The sequence below is a fragment of the Homo sapiens genome, chromosome 9, assembly GCF_000001405.40.
Source record: "Homo sapiens chromosome 9, GRCh38.p14 Primary Assembly".
NCBI lineage: Eukaryota > Metazoa > Chordata > Mammalia > Primates > Hominidae > Homo > Homo sapiens.
This window is the reverse complement of record NC_000009.12, coordinates 16,403,351-16,429,165: the sequence shown is the minus strand read 5'-3', so window position 1 is coordinate 16,429,165 and position 25,815 is coordinate 16,403,351. Positions and strand designations below refer to the sequence as shown.

At 39.8% G+C, this 25,815-nt stretch overlaps 1 protein-coding gene and 1 long non-coding RNA gene across 41 annotated transcripts in view; one reads left to right on the top strand and one right to left on the bottom strand.

Moving 5' to 3' along the window:
• BNC2 (basonuclin zinc finger protein 2) overlaps positions 1–19,663 on the top strand; it is a 461,168-nt gene extending 441,505 nt beyond the window's left edge. For 25 of the 40 annotated variants that reach the window (XM_047423506.1, XM_047423501.1, XM_047423494.1 and 22 more), the window contains one exon: positions 9,517–19,663. In XM_047423506.1, coding sequence (XP_047279462.1) covers positions 9,517–10,177 — 661 coding nt within the window. In that variant the 3' untranslated portion in view covers positions 10,178–19,663. The remainder of the gene's footprint in view (positions 1–9,516) is intronic. The other 15 variants (XM_047423508.1, XM_047423495.1, XM_047423491.1 and 12 more) reach the window with 2 other exon arrangements.
• Positions 13,790–25,815, bottom strand: part of LOC124902125 (uncharacterized) — a 26,637-nt gene continuing 14,611 nt past the window's right edge. Inside the window, exons 2-3 of the long non-coding RNA XR_007061425.1 lie at positions 22,679–22,903; positions 13,790–13,877 (exon numbers count right to left, since the gene is read on the bottom strand). This is a non-coding gene — a long non-coding RNA (uncharacterized LOC124902125). The remainder of the gene's footprint in view (positions 13,878–22,678; positions 22,904–25,815) is intronic.

Here is a 25,815-nt window from a genome sequence, read left to right as displayed (position 1 = left end):
TTTTTTCTTTTTTTAAAGCCTTCTCAGAAATAATGTGCTTGCCATAAGACTCCCACAAGCTTCAAATAAATGAATGTGGCAGAATTGGAAAGAAGCTTGTCCTTGCCAAAAAATTGCAATGTCATAAAAGAGGGATTTGGTAACTTTGATTCTTGAGTGCCAAGATATGTGTATGAGGGAGAGGCAGGCAAGCTAAGACCGAGGAAGAAAGAATACTTTTTAGGAAAGGACAATTTTTCTTCAGTTATTTCACATAAAACTACACTTTTAAAATATACCTAGATTTTATGTCCTAATGCAAGCTGCTTGAATTAAAACAGGAGTTGTAAATTCCTGGTAAAAAGCTGTTACACCTAAAGTGTTAGTGATCCTAACTCTAGTACTTTATAGAGTTTATTACTTCTTTTATTAACTAGGGGGAAAAATGTTACCCACTTCTAGTTTAATTCTTTTTGTTGCTTGCTCTAATTTTGACTTTACCTTAGGAAAGAAAAAAAAAGACAAGTGTTTCTAACAGAATATATGTAAGCGATGCCTCGGTATTGCTATTGCATATATCAATCTGAATTATTACCAGCCACTCAAAAATTGTGCTAATGTTCTAATCTAAATTCATCCACGTAATGTATATGTGTGTTTACACATAAACATCCACATAAATAAGAATATCAAAAGACAGATCATTCTTAATTGCCAGAATAGACATCTACATCTCGGAAAGTGATGTATGAAGTAACTTTATCACATTGATGGGAAATAAGATTTCGTAAGTAAAACAAGACCCATTTGGGCACCAAGAACCACAGACCTGCAGCTGGAAGCCCTGTAGGTCTGATGGGCAGTGGAGGGGAGCCGCTCTAACTCTGCTGCCTTTTTAGTCTGCTCTGTCACTGAGGGGGCACTGGTGGGTCAGTTCGCTCACTCGTAATTGTGTTTTACAGACTTCTAAAGCAATTGGCTCAGTCAGTCCCAATTCAATAAAAGTGGAGAGCAAGAGAGAGAGCACTTTTGTTCTATTTTTTACTTGAAATTATTTCATTCAGCAGTCTGTCTTTTTTATTACCAGGACTTGACATTAGCACTCCAAGCTATATTAGCATCCATTTCAGCAGTTCAGTAATGGTATTAAAAAAACACTTAACTTCAATGGTGAATGGTTGTATGACAGTACCATAAAAAATCCACATTAAAAAAAACTTATGTATTTGTCCCAGCAAATTATTTTTCACTTGTTTAACCACTTCAAAACTATATTCTCATGACGGGTGTTCACGAGGACTTTCTTGTTCTCAGCAACAGCTGACAGTGGTGCTCGGTTGATTAGGGAACTGAGGAAAGAGGAAAGGGAAATCCAGTGAAGAGAGGGTAGGTAAAGATGCTGTTTACCCTGTAGTTAGATTACCTTCCATTCATCAGCAGAGATGGAATTGGCAACCTCAGAGCACCCAAGGTGAAATTCTTGGATCCTCATGCGTGACTGGGATTTGATTTTGAACCCAACACTCTCCAAACTTGGGAGCAAAGCCTAACTACTTTGGCACTGCAATGTGCTCATAAATGACTACATTAGTTTCTAAATTTTGATTAAACATTCAGTAATTAATCAATGGTAGACACGAAGCAGTTGGCAAGGTCCAGAGCTGCAAAATGTTTAAGACATAAAACATTACGAAGTAATTAGAATATGCTCCTTCAAGAGAAGGATTGCCTTCAATAAAGAGGTAAATGATAGTATCCTGTTTATTGTGGACGTAGGCAGCCAAAGCAATATGATAAACTGCTGGAAACACACATATCAGTAATCATCCACATTATTAGTGCCATTAATCATAATTCCAAAAATATGACAGCAGCAGCCAACTTTTTGACCAATTTTGCTTCTGCCTGTTGGCCATTATAACTTCACTAATAGACTGCAGAGCTCCTATGCGTGGCAGTTTGCATTGAGAATGGAAGGTTAATTATATTTGAGCTGCTGATTTCTTCTCTCCTTGGAAAAGGCTTAGCACTTTGACAATCCCAAGGGCTCACTGTTGTTAAATCAGTAAAAGTACTTTATTGAAATTTTCTTTGTTGGTCAGGAATGAGATGTTTCAAATGAGATATAAGCACCAGGCTGGAACAGTTGCTAATGCTTCTTGCTTCAAAGTGATCCTTGGGCAGCAAGATGAACTCAGTGGTTTCTTTAGATCACTTTGCTCTCTCATTTCTCGGGTAAAAAGTTCAGTGCTATATGGTGATACACCAGGAAATCCCACAAGATTAGTGGTAGTCTCAACATGTATCTGTATGACTGGGATGTTGGGAGTGGTTAATAACATCAGAGGGAATAAGTACTTCTTTAATACAAAATCCTGCATTTCAGACTCTGCCTGTGCAAATAAAAAGTAAAAAGAACTTCACAAAAATCATCCGTTTCTAAATATTAAAACATTTAGTAGCATGCATGCATTGCTGGTTGGTTAAATGAAGTTTTCATGTTTTGGCTGGTAGTTTTGACATTTAATCAAAGTTGTAAATTAGATTATGCTCACTCTTTTTGTTCAGGTGTCTTTATTAGTTTCATTTTCAACACAGAATTCTAGATAAAGCCATAGCTAAATACTAATATTGATTGTCCTACAAAATAGTGTCACCTCCCTTGGGGAACTCATGCATCCTGACTGTTACCTTTTAAGAAGATCATAAATTAACCATTTTAGGCTGGGTGTGGTGGCTCACACCTGTAATTCCAGCACTTTGGGAGGCTGAGGCAGGCAGATTGCTGGAGGCCAGGAGTTCAAGACCAGCCTGGCCAACATAGCAAAAACCCATCTATACTGACAAAAAAAAAAAAAAAAGCTGGGCATGGTGGCACATGCCTGTAAAAATTAGCTCCTATTATTTTGGAAATATATCTTCTAAAATCTTTATAAAGTAAGGCTATATAAAACAAGGAATGGAAAGCTTGAGGGTTAATTTGTCCAGTGTAAATATAAAACTCAAAGCTCAGATTTATTCTCAGTAAGTCCTTAAAAGATGCCAGGGCTCATGGCTTTGCTTTTTCTTACCCAACAATAGTAGTAAACTGAGCACCATATGAGCTGCTTGATTGAGAACACTTCCAAATGCTGTGAAAACATAATCCTGTTCACAGTGTAACACTCATCTCACATTACAGCGCAACAGGTACCTATTGAATAATCAGCACCCTTGAGAAGCCTCGATGTCTCAGATACAACTCAAAAGTAAAATGGTTAGGGAATGGGGCTGCTGGATATCAATTCTACACTTAACCTGTGCATCCAGCTACACATTTTCCATCTACCAATCTGCCTTCCCAAATGCCATCACTACATTAACATTTTTTATGCATTCCACAGCAATGACAAATTGTTTTCTAACTGTAGGGCCAGATTTAGTATGCGAAAGACATGTTTGCCTCTGCCAACAAACCAATAATTCTCACTAACGTCTTCAGAGTTACAACATTTATAAAGTTGCAAAGTGGAGTAAACAAACCATCTGTTTGGCTTTTCCATATATGTCATGCTTTCTTATTAGCATATTACGATTCATTTAGTAAACAAATTTGGTGATTTCGTTCACGTCAAAGTTAGATCGGAAGCTTGAAGATGATTAACATTCCTGGGACAAGCACATTAATACATTGCTTCCCCTGCAAAGTTAAATGGCTTCTCAGGAGAATCGCCCCTTGTTGACAAGATGAGACTGTCAATTTTGTCTGCCTGCCACATTAGGGGCCATACGGGGATGGCAGGCTCTGAGAGAGGGGAGTCGTGTAGGCAGCATAATTCACTGTGAATTGAGAAAAGAAGTCTAATTCTGATAAATGGTCGACCCCAATACATCCTACCTGTTATTACAACAGACGTGCCGTATCTGTGCAGTAAATTAGCTAAACCCCTAAAGAGTTTGGTAGGAGCTTATCTTCAAGTGAATAATTTGAATGTAGAGGAAACTGTCTGCGTGACTAGTATGGATGATTTGTTTTATATTGAAAGGGGTTGAAATGACTGAGTTTCATACTTTTAATTTGCAAGAATTTGCTTAGATTTTGTTTCTTGCATTTAATATGTACTTCCTTACATTTGGGGCTTTTTGAGTGTTACCCACTAGAATTTCACATTGAATTTTCTTCCTGAGCTAGGGGATGGTTTTCAGATCTTTTGGACAGAATCTTTAAATAATAACCTGTAGAACAACTACTAATTTTACAGAAAGGTATAGTGTCAAAAGTATCATTTTGTGCACAGAGCCATAAGCATCCTATCGTTAATAAATGATAATACAAAAATGTTGAGGTAAGTGTAATAGATAGTGTTGTAGCAATCCAGATAAGAAAAGGACTAATGAAGGCAGAAGTTTTAATTTTTCATTTCTGTGGATTTTGATAGCAGGTTTACATTTCTACTCAAAAGTATTGTTGACTCAGTAGTCTTACAATGTACTTAACCCTAGCATCTAGACTTACCCAGATTGGATATAAATTTATCTCTCTCTCTCCCATTCTCCCCATATACATATATGTACACACATACATACAGACAAATAGGCATGCATATGGTATGTATATGTTATTGTTACGCTATGTATATGTTGTTATGATCATTCTGTACAATATCATTTGAGAATTTGTGAATGTGTGTGTTGAACGGCAGAGTTGAGCTGGAAAATAAAGGCAAAAACTAATCCAAAGTGGGGCCTCAGTTATTTTTCCCTTGAGGCATTCTAATTAATTATTAAGTATTTTGTTTCAATTCACCAAGTTCAGAATGTCTCAAATCTGATTAAGAATTAAGACACTTCATGCAACCTATAGCTTGGTTCATTATTCAGTCTCTGACTGCCACAGTCTTACTTTCTAATTTGGTCATGCAACTTGTTTTTTTTTTTTTTCTTTTTCGTGTCTCCCCGATATCTTAAAGCCAAGTTTAAAACCTCAAAACACTTTCTTTAGATAGTGTTTTTGTTTTTAGTTTTATGGGCCAGACATCACATTAAATCTAACTTAATGTGATGAGAAAAGAGAAGTCCAAGGCAAGACTTGCTTTCTCTCTAAAGGGCATTTGCACTTACTTGACTACGTTTGATGGATTTCATGTCTTCTGTGGTTGCATGGTAAAGTTTTCATCAAAGGAACAGAAAAAGACTGGTAGTCCACTTTAGTCCAGTTAGAGTACTTCCACTCAGCATTTCAAAGAAGAAGGAAGTTTGGTTCTGCAGCACCCTCCCCTCAGTCCAAGGTTTTGTAACTTTTTGCTTTTAAGGGTGATATTGGTCTTTAACAAGCTTTTGGTAGATTCACAGTATAGAAAGAGTACAGAGGTTTAAAGGAAGCATTTGTAGTTCCAAGCATAGCCCAAGTTACAGGGCTTTTTCAAGCCCTAATTTTGTGGCATTCCCTTATAACATACTATGGTATTAATAGCGTCAGGATCACCGTTTGTTTTGTCGCCACCACCTTTCCTTGGATATTCTGTTACATGAGTCCTACCTTGGGATCATTGCTTTCTTCCCTTCTACAGTGTATTTTGGGAAATACTTTTTGAAGACTCATGCATATTATTGATGGAAGGGAAACCAATGTACTTTTAAGTACCTCCTCTGTGCAAAGTATTCTACTTTACGTGCAGGACACATAAGATTGAGTAAGATTTAGTTATGTTCTTGAAAGTGAACGTCTGGGGCTAAGGTTTGGACCACTGCCTTAATGATTACCACTGCACTTCTTAAGACCAAGTCCTTACCCCTTATACCTATGAACTCATTTTCTCTCTGCATTCCAGTCACTTTTTTTCTGTAAGAGGAACTTCCTTCCATATATCTTTCTTGCCTTCCAAATCAAAGCAAGTAGAAACAACCTTTCTACTGTTCATGTTCTTATAGAATGTAAGAAGTTCTAATACAGTCTTAGATATTTGTTATTGAGTATTCTTCCCTCTTTCCTAGAGATAAATATTCAGAACACTAAATCTGTTTCTAGAAAAACCATCTCTGTCGCTGGAGAGCTCAAAATTGGTTCCTTGTTGGATTCTTTGTTCCAATTGTTACATACAACTGAGTAGGGCTTCCTCTGCCAGGGAGTCCCCCTCCTGTTTCCAGCACTCTCTGGCCTTCCTGCCATTTTAGGGTCTTCTCTCGACATCTGATTATCAGTAGGTGAGAGTTCTTTCTGTGTCTCTCCCAACTTCTCTTTTCACCTCTTCAGTTTTGCTGATCCGGATAAACTTGTAATAGTCCTCAAATTGCTATTAACCCTAGGTCTTTGTGTCTCATGAGGACAGTATTTTATGACAGCTAATGGTCTGGATTGACTGATTCAAGAGTCCAACAATAGGTCTTTGTTAAAATCAAGTGCTGTCTTTTGTCCCTTCTTTGGAGACTGAACCGTAACCTCTTGGGTAGGATCGGTACCCTCTAAAGAATTTTAGTCTGCTTTCCTTCTCGTGCTTTCCTTCCTTCCACCTTAGGAATACTGTGTGAGTTTGTGAGAAAATCTTCAAGCCCACTATCATGAGAGTGAACAGCAGACTTTCCTCAGTCCATCCTTCCCATCTCCACTTCAAGTGTTTTGCATATGGCATTTAGGAGGATTATTAAACAAAAATGAAATAGATTAGGAATTGAACGTAAAAGAATCAATTCTCTTGAACTGTGGTTGCATAATGGAAATCGACTACCATGAATGAACCCGTGTACTGAAGTTATGAAGAGCAGAGCTAATGCACTGCCATGAGTTCATCTTTATTATTGCATTACACCTGAATCAATTGATAAAGTAGCTGTTTTTTTTAAAGTGAGGGATGGCACTTAATTGAATAAAAGTCAATGTAATTATATTAGCAGAGGCCAACAGTACTGCTGACAGCGGAAAAGGGACACTGTTGAACAGAGTGCCAGAGCTGGTCTACACATTTCTGCACATCGTTTGGTTGACAGATATTGAGGGCTGGTACATCGTCTAATTAGATTACAGATTTCTACTGCTGTAAGTGAGAAATGAAGAGAAAATCTCTTTCTGGTAACATATTGGTGGAGATGTGTAATTTCACAAGTCATCTTAGGGAAGATGTGTCCATCTGGGTGATCAGTGTGTCCTTTTCTCAATGTTAATTTATTCTTCCTTATTCAGTGTGTCTTGATGCAACTGCTGTGTGTCTGGCTGCTGTTTTCTCAGCAGTGAACCTAGGAAGTGGTAACTGCAGATGTGTGAGAAGCAACAGAGTTCTAGATTACAGTCATCGCAAAATGTGTGCTCGTGAAATTAAGAAAGGGGGAGGGTGTTAAAAATAATAAACGGGTAGGATTTCATGAGCTGCTCATAGTTGGCAGATAGTTTTATCAATAGAATAATAGCGCATAGCGTAACTCTACTTCCACATTCTTGTAATAACTGGTGGTGTTGTACCCACATGTCAGAGTAAAGACCTCACAGTAGGCATTTCCTGCACTTTGCTTAGCAACCTGCACTTGGAGTCATCTGCCATCTGACACCAAGGAAACGGGGAATTACTGTGTCAGAGCAGGGACCGTGGGGACAACTTCTGTTTATCATTCACATACCCACACACTGCATGCATCTGTTTAGAACTCATTTGTGGATGATGATGCTGTGAATTTGGTTTGTGTTAATTCGATTTATGATTTTTGGATTATACAGCTGATCTGAAAATCATCAAGACAGCGTATGGGATGATCGCTTATGACAGAAAATAATTTTGTGATCAGAACGTTTTAAATCCCTATTTTATTGTTTAAGTTTTTCAAAACCAGATGTCTAGAATGTGAATTTGTTTTCTCTCTCTCTCTTTCTCTTTCTTTCTCTCTCTCTGTCTCTTATTCTTGCTTTCTTTTGTGATCGATTTAGCAAAAGATTAGAAAGCTGATCTTATTGTCACAAGGTAAGCTCAGCCTTCCTAAGTGCAGTTGGAGAGGGCTGCTGCCCTCTGCCCCTTAAAACCCAGAGTGCTGTATATTGTCTTGTGTGGAAAGGTGGAGAAGTCTTCCCCACCTTTCTTGTCTCTGAGGCACATACCTCTCAACCATCTCTAGGAAATATCACCCACGTTTGTCACCAAATGGAATGACACATTTTGGTCTTCCATACTTTTAAGTATAATCGGGAGGTCTGTTGAACTTTATATCAGCCATTTAGGTCATTTCTTTTATCACAATTACTTCTCCAAGCTGTAGAGCTTCCACCAGTATTGAGAAGCTTTTATGTATCTGTAGATATGTCAGTTTATTTTTTGGAAGGGTAACCTTCAATTTAGGTACTGTTGAACATGTGAGCCTTTGCAGGTGGAGAGAGGTATGTGCCCAAGGGCACTTTAAAAATAATGGGGGATATAAATACAAAGACAATGTTTCCAGATAGATGATAACATATCAGGCTTTGTAAATCATGATGTCCCTATGGATTCTCTGGGACAAATCCTGTCTTTATATATATATATGTAAAAAAATATGTATATGTGTATGTATATACATACATACATACAAGCAAAGCACTGAGTGAGTAGAATAAAAGTTTTGCTTGTCGAAGAAGTATGGGTTCCAGTTGTTAAAGTAAAGGAACCCTATGTTATTGTTGTGCTTGATTTTTTTGTACTTACTGTGTTTTAATTTTTGTACCTCTGAGTTTTCTTTCTGTTGTTCAGTGTGATTTTTTTTAAAAAGGTGGGTGGGTTTTATTTTTTTAAAAAGTTTCTGTTTTTCCGTTTTTGTCTTAAAGAATTAAATTTTAAAGTAGAACTACTCGATGAAAATATTTTGGACACTAAAATGCACATACTTCTAAAAAGTAAATGTATTTTATTATTAGATTTAACTGGGATTCCCAAATCATTCTGAGAAAAGGCATTCGTGTTGTTAAAAGACAGTCTGTAACCCTATTTCAAATTGCTTAATCTGTTAAGCTATTGTTTTTCCTTAAAACTTGAAATGTGGAGGGTAGAGACGGAAGATTTCATTATTTTTTGAAGTTATATCTAAATTATCTAGGCTACTTTTTTAAAAAATGAATTTTTTCTATACCTCAAAATAAAGTGTGTGCTGTATAGAAAAGATGTTTACTTTTTCTTGTTTTTAGGTAAATTTAGACTATTCCATTTAGACAAGCAGAAAGTTTCTATTCTTTTATCCTATTTAATATATATTCTAAAATCTCTGCCATGAAATTCTCTGCAGCTGATGCTGCTACATAGTAAAACTAACAGAGTAATCATTGAGAAAAAGGTGCACGGGTTTGCATTCATCCTACCATTGACAGAGTCAACTCTCTTATAAAAATAATGTTAATGGAAAGTTCCCCTGATTGCACCTCTCACCACCACCACTAACTCCCAGATCCTGAGGATATAGGGGAATGCTTGCTTTTATAATGGTGTAATTAGAAGTGAATGTGCTTATTTGATACCTAGTGAAAGCTGAATCAATTTTAAAATGCTTTCCTTTTTCTCACCTTTCCCCACCCCCCATCCACGTACCCCCCCTTCCCTCTTGTTTTCCTAGACACAGTGCCAACATAAACCTACATCGTAAACTGTTGACCAAAGAACTCGATGACATGGGCCTGGACTCGTCGCAGCCCTCCCTTAGCAAGGACCTCCGCGATGAATTTTTGGTGAAGATATATGGTGCCCAGCACCCCATGGGGCTCGATGTCAGGGAAGACGCCTCCTCTCCCGCAGGGACTGAAGACTCCCACCTGAACGGGTATGGGAGAGGCATGGCAGAGGACTACATGGTCCTTGACTTGAGCACCACCTCCAGCCTCCAGTCCAGCAGCAGTATCCATTCCTCCAGAGAATCCGACGCAGGCAGCGATGAGGGGATTCTTCTCGATGACATTGACGGGGCGAGTGACAGTGGGGAGTCGGCACACAAGGCCGAGGCCCCTGCCCTCCCTGGCAGCCTAGGGGCTGAAGTTTCAGGATCTCTTATGTTCAGCAGCTTGTCTGGGAGCAATGGTGGGATCATGTGCAACATTTGCCACAAAATGTACAGCAACAAGGGGACCCTGAGAGTGCACTACAAAACTGTGCATTTGAGAGAAATGCACAAGTGCAAAGTCCCAGGTTGCAATATGATGTTTTCCTCTGTACGAAGCCGAAATCGGCACAGTCAGAACCCTAATCTCCACAAAAACATTCCCTTCACTTCAGTAGATTAGTCTCAGAATGGACACTACAAATGCCAGCTCTCACCAGATGGCCTACGTGTTTGAACTGCCATAGTCAGTGTGCGCTTATGTACTTGGGGTGTGTGTGTGTGTGTGTGTGTGTGTGCATTTATGTATGCTCTGTGGCTACATATACACACACGTATTTCCTTGAGATAAACAAGATAAACACTAGGTGCTTTTGAATTTTTTTCACTTCCCTTTATAGTTTTGGGAAAGGAGTGGGATCTTTGATTTCAGGGTGAAAACAGAGTACCCCTTTAAACACACACACACACACATGCACATACACACACACACACACACACACACACAGTGTGCAACTAGCCCCAGTTTTGACAGAATAATTCTTGGTCTTCCCCAAAGAGACAATTTGTTGTACCCATGACTGTTGCCTGCAAAAATAAAAGGGAAAAAAAAGAAAAAAGAAACAAAAAGGAACTTCTTATAGTTGTCTTTTGTGAACTTTAAGGTTTTGAAAGAATCTTCAATTAAAGCATGGCAGATTCACCTGTAAATATTTAGCCTTGAGGGGCCATTGATGTAAAACAATTGTATTGATGGTTGTTTAACTTTTTTGTTTAATTTTTACAGTTACATCCAGCTGTTAGATATGCAGGAAAAGATAGTTTGCTGGCTAGCTCTATTCATTTATGTTAGCATTAATGCACATTTTTAAAAAAAGAAAAAAACATGGTCTTGTTTTTACTACCTGTTAGATATAGTGCTAAAGAGGTGCTGGCATGCTTTACAGCACAGATCTGATTTTTTAAAATGTCCTGTACTAGTACATAAATCCCGTCATGCACTTTTTTTCATACACTACAAGGGGATGTGTAATAACCATGCTTCTTTTTTATCCTTAAACTATTGCCATACTTCAGTAAGTGTCTTTTTTAAAAAAAATTCACTTGTATAAAAATGGTCTGGTCAGTATAGGGCACAAATGCCAAACAAAGTATTAGTGTTAACACAAAACTGCCAACTTTGCACAAGTTTCCAGAAAAGAAAATACAATTAGTCACTCAACATAACCACAGGCCAATTTGTTGGCCACCAGAAAACCGCTTTTTAAAAAAACACTTGGTGATTCTTTCAAGTGCCGAATGTTATTAGAATCAACATTGCATCCTTCTTGCTTATACGTTAAGTTACATAAAAGGAAAACAAAATTATGTGGTGTGAAACAGCCAAGGCATTTATTCTTCAGAGGCAGGATAATATTTCAGGATACAAAAGCCCAAATTACCCGCTACGGAACAAAGATGAATACAGTAAAAGAGTCGAACACTCATTTCCAAGGCCCTAACCCTTATCCTTTAAAAAGAAATCCTCTGAACTGGGTCGGTCTGTTGTATGGCTGTCTAATTTGTTGCAAATTCTGCAGTCGTACTATAATTCAGGCCTGTTTGGTAGACAAAATCAAAAGGCATTTAACAGCAGCAGTACTTGGAAGCTTTGAAAACATGTGCTAAACTTGAATGGAGCAACACTCCTTTCTGAAAAGCCAGAAGAAGGGGGTTTTAAAGCAGGATCTCTCAATGTTCAGTGTTTTGTGTTTCCCCACACGATTTGTCAGAGAGAAATGAAAGCAAGCCTGAAACCAAGCAATTGAGAGTGAGAAAGAGGAGAGAGACTATTCTCCAAACCTTTTTTGTTTTGTTTTGTTTCCGATGTTTACACATGTTGCCTGAGCTGGTTAACCACATCGGCAGCCTCAGCTACCACAACATACTGACTAAATGATGATATTTACTCAAGTTCAGTCTGCAGCCAAAACCATTAGGGTGTGCATTGCAGACTGTTTTGTTGTCTTTTTTTTTTCTTTTTTCCTTTTTTTTTAAGTGGAGGGGAAAAGAAGAGATAAACAAGGAATATTTTGTCAAACAGTACACAATAATTTAAAGAGAATGTATTTCTTTTTTGCATTTAATGGCCTCAGACATTTCTTTCATCAGTCTAAAAGTTAGAAATATCCCTTTATTTTAACTTTTATGTCGTTTCCATTTTTCATGTTTTTGTAATTATTTTTTCTATGTTCACATCAGCATTCACTTCCGTTAAATTTGCCAAAGGAAACTGTTAATATGTTTCTGTTGTTATTATTCCTGTAGGATTTATTGTACCTCACAGTATTTATTGTTTCCCAAAATAAGCATCATTAGTTGGGGATTCAGTATTTTTGTTGTGAAAATTTCAGAAACAATAGATTCTTAAAGATAAGCTAGCTATGTCTAGGAGCTTTATCTTTTCACCTCCTTCAGAGGATGCTATGGGGTCCATTTTAATTCTTCATTTGTTCTACGGGGAGGAAAGACCAAAAGTATTTGCAGTACAAAAGAAACTATATCAAACACTATGTTAAATGACAAGTGTTTATGGTAAAAAGCTGAGGAATTAGTAATAATCGTTTTTGTTTTCTTGTACTTTGAATTCCCCAAAGTCTTAATTGCTTTATTTTGGTGTTGTGTTAAATTGAACAGACAGATGTTTTCCTTTGTTTTATACCATATAAGACTCTGTACAGTATGTTTGTGAAAGATTGAACTAGAATAATGAAAGTTTGTTTGCAAACATTTTGGTCCTCTCAGCGTTCTCTGTGTTGTGCTGTTGCCCCATTACCAAATGGTTAGATTCAAAAAGGGTGGGAAAAGATTTTTAATATCCCAACAAAACATTATAGAAACTCTGGCTTTTGCAGTGTGCATAGACTACATGTAGTTTTATGAAAATAAATACACATTTTTATTTCAGCAACTTTGAAAAGTTACACTCAGTTGAGTTACTAGAACTCATCTTGTACAACAGCAATGTTTAGTCTGTTTAATTTAATGTCAAATAAAAGGTCAGATAGCCCTCGTGAGTGAATTACATAGCTGTCGGCAGTCACATCAGCAAATGCACCAGGCTTAGAACAAATGTTTGTTACTTGCTGCAAACCAAGCTAATGTGTATAGCCAGTTAGAAAAAGTCCAGAAGTAATGAGATTCTAGAAGTAGAGTTTCCCTTGCTTGGAAACATGAATGTGTTCACCTGTGTTTTGTCAGAGAAGTGGCAATAAGTCCTGGACAGCTGACACTTTTTAAGTATCTCCCCTATTTGCTACTACTTTTGTGCCTCAAGTGCCCAGTCGTTACGGTGGCCTTCTAAATGAGTAAATAACATTTTCCAATATAAAGCCTATTTGCTTAAAAGGGACAGGGGAGTGGATGGATGTAGTACATGCAATGGAAAATCATAAAATGTACAATTCTTCTGTTTCCAAAGTATTGCTCGTTCTTGAGTGTGTGCCTGAGTGTCTTGTTTTGACTTAACTAGAATTCTAGTTAAGATGGTGATCCCATGGCTTATTTGCAAACAGGAAGGATAAAGAGATCAGCGTTTTAGTCATGGAGCTCATCTTTGCCCATTCCTACTCATTTGCTTTTTCATAGGAGTTTTTTGTTGTTAAACAGTTTCTCTCAAGCCACATGCATTCTATGCTGGCTGAAAATTAATAGTGATGTAGATGTTCATCCGACAAGCTTTTCCCCATGTGATTGGTTTTAGCCAGAGTTTATCACAGGTACAAAATTAGGCGGTATGACTGTGCATGTTCTCTAGCTGATGTTGAAACTTGTACTGTCTTGATCATTTAAAACTATGTTTTTGTAAATATCAGGTTTAGTCCGCTTTCGGGAATATCTGCATGCTATGGAAAGAGAGAAAAAAAGGATAGATAATGAGGAATTTGGTTTAAAAGTGTGATAAAAATCCTTGGCATTCTTTGTTCTGATATTAATTGTATTTAAATAAGTCAACCCAATGTAACTCATTCCAGATCTTAGTCCAGCTGCCCTGTTCAGCCTGATGCCTTTTAAAGGTTTAAAGGTGTTAATGTTTTCCTTTTCAACATGGCAAACATTTTTTAAAACCTTTTTGGCACAATGGTGCCACTGTCCTCATAGTGTTATTTCTTTGGTCATGAATTTTCAGGCCCTTCCAGTAAGAGGAGAAAGGCACTTAACTGGTTAACAGCCCCATTATTATACATTGCTCTAAGGAAAAAAAAAAAAAAAAAACTTTGAATATATCAAGAATGGGCTATTCCAGAGGCTTCTCCTCAGGAGAAACTATGCACTAGGTTCCCACCAAATACAATGTGACCTTTTTTTCCCCTTTCTCTGTACACACCCCAGATATGTGCCAAGCAAATGAGAATGAGGGCCGTTGACAATTAAAGCATAAAGAAGCTAGTCACCAGATTGAGATGGACATGCTGCTAACTGCTGACAGCTTGACCTGAGCAGTCCTAACTTGTATCTGGTCTGTTAGCATTGGGTTAGATTGACTAACAGAGTAAATAAAATTCACCTGTCATAAGACACGCTACATCTGCTATCATCAAGAAACAAATCATCCAGAAGAAACTTTTTTTCATCCTGTGGTCACACCCTTTTCTTAAGAGCTTCTTTTTTAAAATTATGACAAACGAATTTCATTCTTTAAAATCACTTATCTTCTCCCAAACTTGAAGTATTTAAATTAGGTGGTTTTGCTTTTCCCTCTCATTGTTTATTTTTTGGGGATGGATCTAAATGAGTAAGATGAGCAATAAAAGATACCAGAAAGACTGGAGGGATCACAGTGTTTTCATCAGAACTAAGTAGAGGGTCGGTTCCTGCCCTGGTTTTGGGGTAGCTAGAAAAGGAAATCATGAATGCACTGGAAATGTTGGCTCGAGAGAAAAGACTGGCATAGCTCTGCCTCGCAGTGGGTGAGAGCGTATTGATCGTAGGGACCTGCAGAGTTCCTATGACCAGGTGAGTCGGCTCTGAGGAAGGGGTTAGGAAAGCAAGTACAGCTGCATGAAATAGCTGAAGTTCCTTTGGGGTCAGGAAGAGCCGACAATTGTGGGGTTTTGGTTGCTTTTGCTTTGTTTTTGAGTGGGAAGTGTTGCTGGAATCCCCTGAGAACCGAAAGATGCCAGGGGTCAGCAAGGCTATAGAAAAGGCCAGTGGTAACACCTCGTTTTCATCCTAACAGAGGAGTAGGTGCGAATGGCACCAGCATGGATCGTTCCTTTCTTGATCATTACTCATGCTTGCCACTGTAGCAACACAACAAAGCCATGATTGTAATTAATACTAGGCTAAAGACCTTGATCAAAATGGGAGCTCATTTACTGTTCTATGAGGTATGTAAGTAACTTCTCTTCACATTTTCCCTCAGAGATAAACCACACGTGGTAGTCTTGTTTGCGTTAGTACTAAGGTCATGTTTGATCTGTCCCAGACGAGTCGCATATTTCCTGTAGCTGGAGTGTTGCTCACCATAAATGGTCATTTTCAAAAAGTATTGTGTAATTCCAGCTGTACAACTGACCAGTGAGTTATCTGTCATCACTGTTGCCCACATACCCGTCCTTCCTTGTGTAGTTTCATCATCCTCATCCTTCCCACATCTTGCGCAAAATGATTTTCTGTGCTCATTCGGCAATAACTATGTTATTCGGCATACTGTCTTTTTGGCATTTGTTGAAAAATCCAAATGCTTTTAATCCAAAAGATTAATCCAAATCTTTTTTAATCCAAATGATTTTAATCCAAATCCAAATAACAGGAGGTTAAAAAAAAAAAAAAAACTAAGCATTTTTACATGTACACTGAATTGGATCAGCATTATTGTTCATTATAATGCTATATATATTTTTGGAGCAACATACTATAGTTGTCATAAAACTATCTTTATTCTTCTCCTCTAAAGTGCTGTTGTAAATTCATTTGACCTTTACTGCAGGAAAAAAAAAAATCTTTTTTATATAGGATATGAAGACCAAGGCTCAGTCTGTAACAAATAGTGGACCATTACAAAAGAGGAAAGAAAAAAGCCAGGGCTGAGCAGCAAGAAGCTTCAGTTCAATTTCACCTCGTATCTTTCTAATAACATACTTGTCACTTTATTACCTTCCAGTAATGTGAACGCTGCTGACAAGACTGTCACACTAACAGCAGACAACACCCTCTCTGCTTCAGCCCAGCTCTCCTGGCTACTTATTGCCCTGGCCCTGAAGGGACACAAACTAATAGTGTGCTTTCCAGTTCAGCACTTGGCCATCAAATATAAAAGGATGCGTAATTGCCTGTTTATCCCCTTGTGAAGGAGAAATTGACTACAAGGGCTAGGCTTTCCCATCGAGTTCCCTGATGTACACACACATCCACAATCAGTCAGTCTCTCTCTCTCTCTCTCTCTCTCTCTCTCTCTCTCTCTCTCTCTCCCCTCTCTCTCTCCTTCCCTCTTATTCTCCCCTCCTAACATACAAGCACATACACACACCTACTGTATCTGTGGGAAGCCCAAGGCTGCCTCTCGATGCCCTCTCCAGCTATTAAGTGGACAGTAACAAGATGACTTCTTAAATAAAGGGTCAGTAGAGAGATGCTGTCTGTGACGGCATCCTTTGCTTCTTTGAAAACTTAAGTGTTAACAATTCCATCTTGAGAGTAATGGGTGTGGCCCTATAATTAGAGCAAATTTTCCTGCAAGTCAGTGGCATAAGTAAGATTATATTGCCCCCTAATCTGTAGGGAAAAGATTAAAATATTTTTCTTCCCCTTCAAAAAGTGCACATGTTGTAAACTGGTTACGCACAGTGGTCATTTTTTTTTCTTATCCTTGGCATCAAACCATGGACGTAGGTGTACAAATGCATCTTTCAATGACCCCTCCAAATCCATAGTGTAACATGATAGATTAACTTTTGTCAAACTGGACTGACAATCTAAAAAAGATGGCGTCAGGCTTTTGACTTTAATCGTTAAAACAAGGACCACCCTATGAGTAAAAGGTAAATTCTCCACTTTGAAGAACTTTGGTAAGTACAAGTACAGGGAGCTTTAGAAAATCGAGTGATGGGGACCAAAGGTACAAAGGAAGAATACATGAAAATGTTATATTCCAAAATGCCCTGAGCCCAAAGATTGGCTGCTATTTTTGTATATTGAAATACTCAAATGATGGTTGGAAAGTGACTAGTTAGTGACTAAATGAAGTGCAAGATCTATCAAGCGTCTTCTTTCTGGGACTAGGGGATGCCATGCTTCCTTCCAACCTTCCCGCAGCGCATCTCAGAGAAGATAGTTGGCCCCATTACAAACAGTCACATTTCAGTAAGATATTAGTCAGCCAGGTAAGACACGTGCAGGTATCGGTATCATCTTCCATATGAACTTTAGCAAGGAGAGAACAGCAGCAGATTTAGGGATAGACAATGTAACAGGTCTATGTTGACAAATCTGTGCTAAATAATTTCATGAACCAGTGTGGGGACTGGGAAGAAAAGCACTTTGAGCAAGGACTCTTGGGTTCGAGCAAAGGCAATTAGTTGACATGATACTTCTTAAGTTCCTCAGTATGTATATGTTACAATCGTTTATCAGACATCTTAATAGAATCCTAATTGAAAAACCAGTTGCCAAAATTGCACAAGTTCTGCTCGCTGATACTAGCTTTCTCCCCTTAACTCTAAAATACCAGGGATGCTTAAGGACGTTTGTAATAGTTTTTTTAATGCTTTGTTTCACTTTTTTAAAAAAGAATCTTTGAAGGGAAGGAAGAGCAGAAAGAAGTATTTTAAGAAAAATGGAGAGAAGTAGATAGTATTGAAAGTATATTTCTTGAAGAGAGAGTATCTAAGTGCTATACCAAGATTTTATAGGGCTTCCTGTTGCCAAATGTGATGTTGAGATAATGCACAGCTAAGATGGCAAATCCATCAATTATTAACTGGCTCTGCCCACTTCTGTCATGGAATGCAAGGATTGAGAGGTGACTCTGGGGAGACCCTGGGTGTGTGAGAGAGCTCCATTCATCTGGCCCTGGATATGTTTTTCAAAAGAGAGGGAGAAAGCGCCAGTCCCTGCAAGGTGAACTGACCTGGCACTGTTTCAGTGGGAGCCTCACTGCCTGCCTTTTCCATGCTAGGAGACAAAGCATCCTCTACCCCATCTGTGAATCGGTGCTGTGGCCACTGCGAGAAGCATGATTCATGAGGTATGATGCTCTTGAGCTCCCAGACAATGTGCTGAGTTAATAGGTTCACTTGAGATGTATACACCAAGGCTGTTTCTTTTTTTAAATCTAGTCCCCAATTTGGAGTATTTTTGCATGTTTTTGTACAGAGTAATCCATTCCTCTCATTGTGTATCTTAATCTCCTCTGACTTTTCCATTGTCTTTCTCAATCCCACCCTTTGCTCTTCGGATCTCACCAACCCCCCTTAAAAAATAAATCATGTTTGAGCAAGAAGGTAGAACACGCCCTCCCTCATCTTGGTTTTAATTGCTTTGGAAACGTGTTCTACCCTGTCCAGGGTTTGCATAACGTGAATTAAGTGAATGAGATGTTCTAGTATTATATCTTAACCTGATAAGACTATCTAAGATTTCTAGTATATGGTGCATTTGCTTTCCTGTGCAAACTTTGGTTCAGCTGCCCTGCAGAGAATCTCACCATTTTCCTGCCAGTGCCAGTATAAAGAATGCAGGAGAGCTAAACCTGGGTACATGAAGGTCAGAGGGGTGAGGACGGTCGAGAAATGGGGAGAAGACTTGGGCTTGAGACGACCTGGGCTTTTCATGTGTAGCTCACTCAGCAGTATGAGGATGACTGACACACCAGTGGGTGGTTTCCAAGTGAGGCAAATGCCCATTTCCCCTCTCCCCTCACACCTTGCCTGGCTTCTTCCATGAAGTCCTTGCTGCTTTTCTGCCTCCCCAAAGGTGAGGGGAAGGGGCTGGTTGGGGATCTGGGAAAGCCAGTTCTCTGTTCTCTCCTGCTGGTGATGGACTAGGCCTTTTAGAACTAGCAAGATCCCTCACACAGCTGGGAGAACACACACCTTTCTTACTCCAGACCCATTGGTGTGTCTCCAGTAACAAAATTATTGGACTCAGCCTCCATATTTGACAGCAAAAGTGGCCAGAGGGAGTTGAAATATCTTGAAGAAAAGGAATTTTCACTAAGATATGTCCTCTCCCTCTCCCAGAGTTTAGCTGTTTATTCCTTTTTTTTGTTTATATTGTTCTCATCTGCATAAAACCAGTCTCTTGCAATAAGCCTGCCGCAGAATCAAAGTCTGTACTTCAAAAGGTAACTGCACCAAGGGATGGGACAGTGTGCATCACCCTGATCTAATCATTGTGACGTTGGTAGCTTCCTAAATACTGTATGTACCTTGAACAAGGGTTTTATTTTTGTTTTGTTCTGTTTTGCTTTTTGTTTTTATTGGTAGGCTAAGGTAATTAAATTTTTTAATTTGCTGTTACTTTGGTTGTATTTTCTGTACTATAACTGCCTACAGTATGTCTTTTGCATAAAATGCATAAGGGTTTGGGGATGTAAATGGAATTTTATTCATATTTTGTCCAAATACCTCTTGTAATTTGTATCAAAATTCTTGTACAATTTTTATATTAAAGATTTATCAGTCACTGATCTCTTCTTACCTTTCTGATTTCAAGAAACCTCCACACGCTCCAGTAGATCTTTACAAAATACACCGAGCAGCCCTTCAGCTCACAGTGTAATTCACCTTATTTAAGCACACTTGTTGGTGAACTCAGAGCCAAGCTCAACCACTGTATTATTTAATAGATTTCTCAGGAAGACCAAGCTCATCTTTTGCTCAGATGGCAAAGCTGGGTCAGAGCTGCAGAGGTCCTGGCCGCTCCCAATGGAGCACAGCAGACACTGCCCTCCATCTTCCTTCCCACAGCTATCAGGGATGCCTTTTCTGTGACTTTCCAGAAGTCCTTTTCCCAAAGCCTTTGCCCCTGCTCTTTTGAGGAAAAGAAGACTAAAGGAAGAACTTAGGTGTCTTTGCACCTGAGCTTTTCAAAAATAAATTTTCTTCCCAACCCTTTCAAATTTGTGGACAGCAGCCACCAGGATGATGACTTCATATTTTTTCACACTGAATGCTTGTCTTTCAGTTTATAGTCTCTTGGCAGCAACTTTCCACAAATTGTCCTTGTTATAATCTAGAAATAAAACTGGCAGATGGAAAGATGTCATAATCAGCAACATTTCCTCCTCCTGTCGTCCTGCCTGGGGACTATGGGATGAAGCGTAGAGAAGGTGCGTTTTGGGAACTAAACGTTGGGCACACACTGGCATAAAGATGGGAACAGTAAACACTGGGGAGAGGAGGAGGGGTGCGAGGACTGAAAGGCTGCCTATTGGGTGCTGTGCTCACCACCTGGGTGATGGGACCATTCGTACCCCAAACCTCTGTGTCACACAATACACCCATCTCACAAAGCTGCACATGTTCACCCTGTATCTAAGATAAAAGTTGAAATTATATAAAAACTGCTTTCAACTCAGCAGTGTTTAATATCACCCCCACCTCTTAAACCAATCCAAGTTAAAAATTAGACTAACCAAGACTATAACTTTTGCTGAAATCTCCCCTTCGATTTAGTATTGTCTGTTCATCTGCAGAACCAGATCTGCTCAAATCTCCCCAGGTTGTCCTACCCACCTCTCCAGTTTTCCCTGGACTCTAACGCAGACACCTAAGCTACCTGGACTCTAGAGCGATGCCCTGGCCTCAGGCCTCTGGACAGGCTGCCTGTACCCCTCAGGCCCCCAGTAGGGAGCTACCCAGGCTCAGGTATCACTGACTGAGTGTCTCTCCCAAAGCATCAGGGATGCCAGCCACCTAGCCTTGATGGTGTCTCCCTCCTTGATTTCTCTGAGCACCCATAGATGGGTTTTCGGTGACAGCAAAGAAATGAAAGGTTAAGCAACTTTGGAAAAGTCAGCCTCCCATTGAGGCATGTGGTTATTAGATGTCACAGATGTGTTAAGGCACTCCTGCAGGGAATCCAAGTATAATTATGATCTTTTCATCTGTCATAATAAGTCTGTAATCGGCAAGAATTCTCCCTCGAATAGCTCCCCCTTCTCCTTAGGAAAAAAAAAAAGTTGTTTTAAATGCTATCAAATGATGGAAATACTCCTGTTCAGTGAAGAGACACCCATGAAGGCAGCTCTTGGCACAAAGCTAGTCAAAACTGCCTGGGTTGTGGCAACTTGCTCTCCTGAGCCACTGGAAGGCTTGCCGCCTGCTAGTTTGCCCTGTGTCAGTTGACAATATGACAGTAGATTAAGTGCTACTAATTTAATAAAGCTGCTCTGAGGCCAGAGCTGACCTATCAATGAAGACTAGAGAGGATCGCATTGGTGGGGGCTTGGAGAGGGGCAGCAGAGAATATTGAATTGCCTGAAGTAATACTGGGGGGAAAATCTATAGATCCTCAGTAAGGAGCAGTTATTTTTAGTCACCTGACTCTTGGGCACCCAATCATTAGCCATATTCATCAAAGCTGTATAATGAACAGAGGTATTGATTAACAGGGGTAGCTGAGGAGATTTCCCAACAGTGCTAGTTCACATTGATAGGTCTCCAATGGGAATACAGGCCATGCAGCCCTGGAACATAACTTATTGTATTCTAGGTCCTTCTGTTGATTTGATTTGGGTGGGGGCGGGGTGGGGAGGAACAGCCTTACACACAGTGCTACCCCTATGACCTTTCTCTGAAACCCTCCTTGGAAAGAAAAGAAAAAGCCCCACTCTCTGCAACAAGTACATAACCCTGCTCTAAGTTTTCTCTCTGTCCAGGCTGGCCATCCGACCTCATCTTTGATTGCTGTGTGTTATCTTGATTTACAGAAATTTGCTGGAAGCTGGGACATGCCAGTCAGAGCTTAGAGCCATCAGGCGTATGAAGCTTTCCCTCCCCTACCTCCCCTAAAGATCAACATATGGCTTCAGGAAATTATCGTGTTAGGCTAATTGCACCAAGTTGGCATGGTAGGAACATAATGAGTCCCGGTTTCAGCATGCTGACCCCAAACCCAGTGATGCCAGCGCATAGTAACTTTCCAAGCATTTTGCCTCGTGGCAGGAATCCTCATTGAGCTGCTGTTTGCAAAAGGCATTTGGTTGGATTTCTAGCATGCGCCCTGAACCTGCGCTGCCGTGTTCCAATCATACGAGGGAGTTTGCTGTGCTGTTCACAGGAGCACTTGTCCTTCCAGAGAACTAGTGGTGACCCAAATGCCATAACCATCAGAAGCCTTGTGCTGCCTGACGGGCAACATGCTGCTTAAAATGCTGATATGTAACTAGAAACCATTAAACCCCAGGGAGAAAAAAGTAAAGGATTAAGACAAGGACAGCTGTAAAAAATAAAGCTCAAATGCATCATTAGAAACCAGAAATTCACAAAGTAAAACTGTCTGTCATCCCCACTGGTATTAGCAACACTCGACTTGTATATTAATGAAACAGTGCAGGAACTCTAAGTCACCCTTTAACCATGGAAGCAAGAGGGAAGTTTCTCTTTACTGCAGTCTCTCCTAACTTGAGCATGGGTTTTTGATAACGTTGAATTTTCTTTGCCTCAGAGTATCCTCACCAACCCGTCTTAATTTGTCTTACCGTGGCTAGCAGACTTTTTCTTCTTCAAGCACAGCCTCTCCCTTCAGCGCTGGGACTTTTATGAATGCCACCTTCAGCCTTGTCTTTATCTTTCTTTACTCTCTTCATCATCGTGTTCACTTCAATTTTTGTTTTCTTGGCTGTTATCATCTTTACAAAAAAAGTTCAATATATTTTGATCTTCTGGGGTTAGACTATACCTTGACTTCTTTCCAAATGTAAGATCTTTCAGGAAAAAAAAAAAAAAAATCAAGGGCTTCAAAAATTTTAAATCCAGAGTTCCGTGCATTGTGCAGCAACTTCGAGTTTTTGGAATGCTCCAAAAAATGATTATAAGCAATGGAATTTGGAGGTTATCAGGGTTTGGGGCATGTGCCGTGTTAGGTGATTTAAGATTATTAGCCACTTCCACCTTTTTAGAGAGATTCATTTTTACAAATATAAATGCTATTAACAATTCAAAGCACTCTCATAATTCCCGTTCTTTGTTCTTACCCCATGATCTCAATTTCAATTTTTCTTATTTTTTTTTCCATAAGTGGAGAATTTCCTCCCAAAGTTTCACAAACTTATTTGCAGGCTCAAAACAAGACACTTATTTGATTATTTTCAGATGTCACATCAATTGGTCTTCAGCCGAAAGTAATCCTACAAGATGTTATGCTTTTATGCTTTCTGTTCTTTCAAAAACCACAAACCTGTGTGTTTGAAAATATCACTCTTTCCAAAGCCCTCGGCCTCACCCACAGAGCTTGGAAGTAAGGATGGTTTCAGGCTTATATATGTACTTGCCTTCTCAAGGAAACAAGAAAACACAAAACCCACTCACTTTTCTTATATCTACTGTGAGCATAAACGGGGAGGGGAGGGGCGTGGGAAGCCAGTAAGTTGTGAAATCCAGGAAGGTGAAATGTAGGTGAAATCTAGGAAGCTGTGTCTTGGATGGGATTGTGTTCTAAATACCTTCAAGATGCAATGTTTCTCTTGCCCTCATAGTTTGTGGTACATAGTAGGCATTCAATTCATATTAATAGCATAACTGGGTGAGTGATTGGGGAATGGGGGTGGGAAGGCGGATGGAGTCCTTTGTTAAATGCCAAAGTCAGAGCCAGGCTTAAAACGGGGTAAGCACACCCCATCTCTCTCACTGATCACAGCTTAAAACCCAGACAGGTGCATGGGTCAGCCATTTGAGGGCTCTGAAAAGTAAACAGTAAGCAGAAGCGCCGAGGACGAAGACCAGGCTCCAAAGCCCCACCGAAATAGCGGCACTTTGCCATTTGTTCCCCTCCAGGATGCCCTGGGCCGAACTCATCAAAATCCAAAACCCGGAAGTGGACATCAGGGTGTGATCAGAGAGGTCTCTAGAAGAAACCCTCCTCCAGTCAAGGAGTAGAGAAGAAAACACCAAATGCTCAGAGAGAGAGGGAGAAATTTCCTATTTCTCTTTCTTTTTTGCCCATTTTCTCGTGCCTGCCCCAAACCCACATAAGAAGCAGTGGCAGCAGGAACCGTCAGGGGTGAAAACTCTGCGGGAGGGAATCCTCCTGCCTTAGTGGAGGAGCCATTGTCCCAAGAAGGTGGCAAATTCCCTTTTGCTTTTTATTTCCATCTGTCCTCCCACCGCTTGGCCCTGGAAGTGAGCACAGTGACAGTAGGTGCAGGGCAGAGCACCAGCCTTCCAGCCGGAGGACTGAAAAGGCCAGGCTGAAAAGTTCCAGGGAGACATGGAGAGGGAGGTCCTTGGGAAAGTGACCCCTTAGAGTTAGCAGTTCCTGAGCTTACCCCTGAGGAGCGCATGCACGGGGCTGACCCTGCACAGCACAGACATTGAGAAGTGTGTTATGGGATAGATGGTCGACTATGTCCCAAACTGGCTACTGCGTGGTGCACACATGGGACAGATCCAAACAGTGCTGCAACGATTTTGGACACTGAACTGATGATGGAACTATCACCCTCAGAAGGCTGGTTGGAACTTGCAGCCTAAACCCAGTGAGGTCAAATGCCTCCTAAAAATCATATCAACATTCTCCATAAGATTTTAACAAGACCCAGAATCTCGTAACATGTGTGGTAGGCAGACTTCTTTTTCAAAAATTGTGGTGTTAAATATACAAAGCATAAAATTTACCATTTGAATAATTTTTAAGTGTATGGTTCTGTGGCATAAAGCACATCCACACTGGTGTGCAACCATCACCACCATCCATCTCAAGAACTTTTGTGTGTTCCCCAAATGAAACTCTGTACCCATTCAACTCTAACTCCCCATTCCTCATTTCCCTTGCCGTTCTTTCCATCTCTATGAATTTGATGACTCCAGTTACCTCATATAAATGGAATCATACAATGTTTGTCCTTCTGTGTCTGGCTTATTTCACTCCGCATGATGTCGTCAAGGTTCATCCATGTTGTATAGCATGTGTCAGGATTTCCTTCCTTTTTAAGGTTGAATATGATTCCATTGTGTGTGTGTGCCACATTTTGTTTATTCATCCATCCATCGATGGACACTTGGGTTGCTTCCACCAGTAGGCGGACTTCTAAGATATCCCCTGATGATCCCAGATACTGAGTTTCATATCCCCTTTCCTTAACTGTGGGAGACTATGGTAAAAATCTTGAGCTATCCCTTCCATGATTGGGTTATAAAACACTCTGGCTTCTGTCCTGCTAATGTGCAATGTCTGCATACTCTGTGTTCTGCCTCTATACTCTGTATTCTATCTTCAGTACTCTAACTTATTGCCCTCTTGGCTTACACACTTTGATGAAGCAAGCTGCCGTGTGAGAGAGGCTCATGTCAAAAAGAACTGATGGTGGCCTCTAGTCAACAGCCAGAGAGGAACTGAGGTCCTCAGTTCAACAGCCAGCAAGGAACTAAATGCTGCCAGTGACCACCAGTTTAGCTGAATTGGGCCTTTAGATAAGATCACAGATCCTTGGTCAACATATTGCTTGTAGCCCTTTGAGAGACCCCACAGCAGAGGACTCAACTAGGCCCAAACTAAAGAAACAATGGGACAATAAATGTTGTTTCAAGCAACTGAGTTTTGGAGTAATTTGTAATGCAGCAAGAGATAACTAATACAACACAATATTCAGTATGTCCAAGAAACAATCCAAATTTTTTC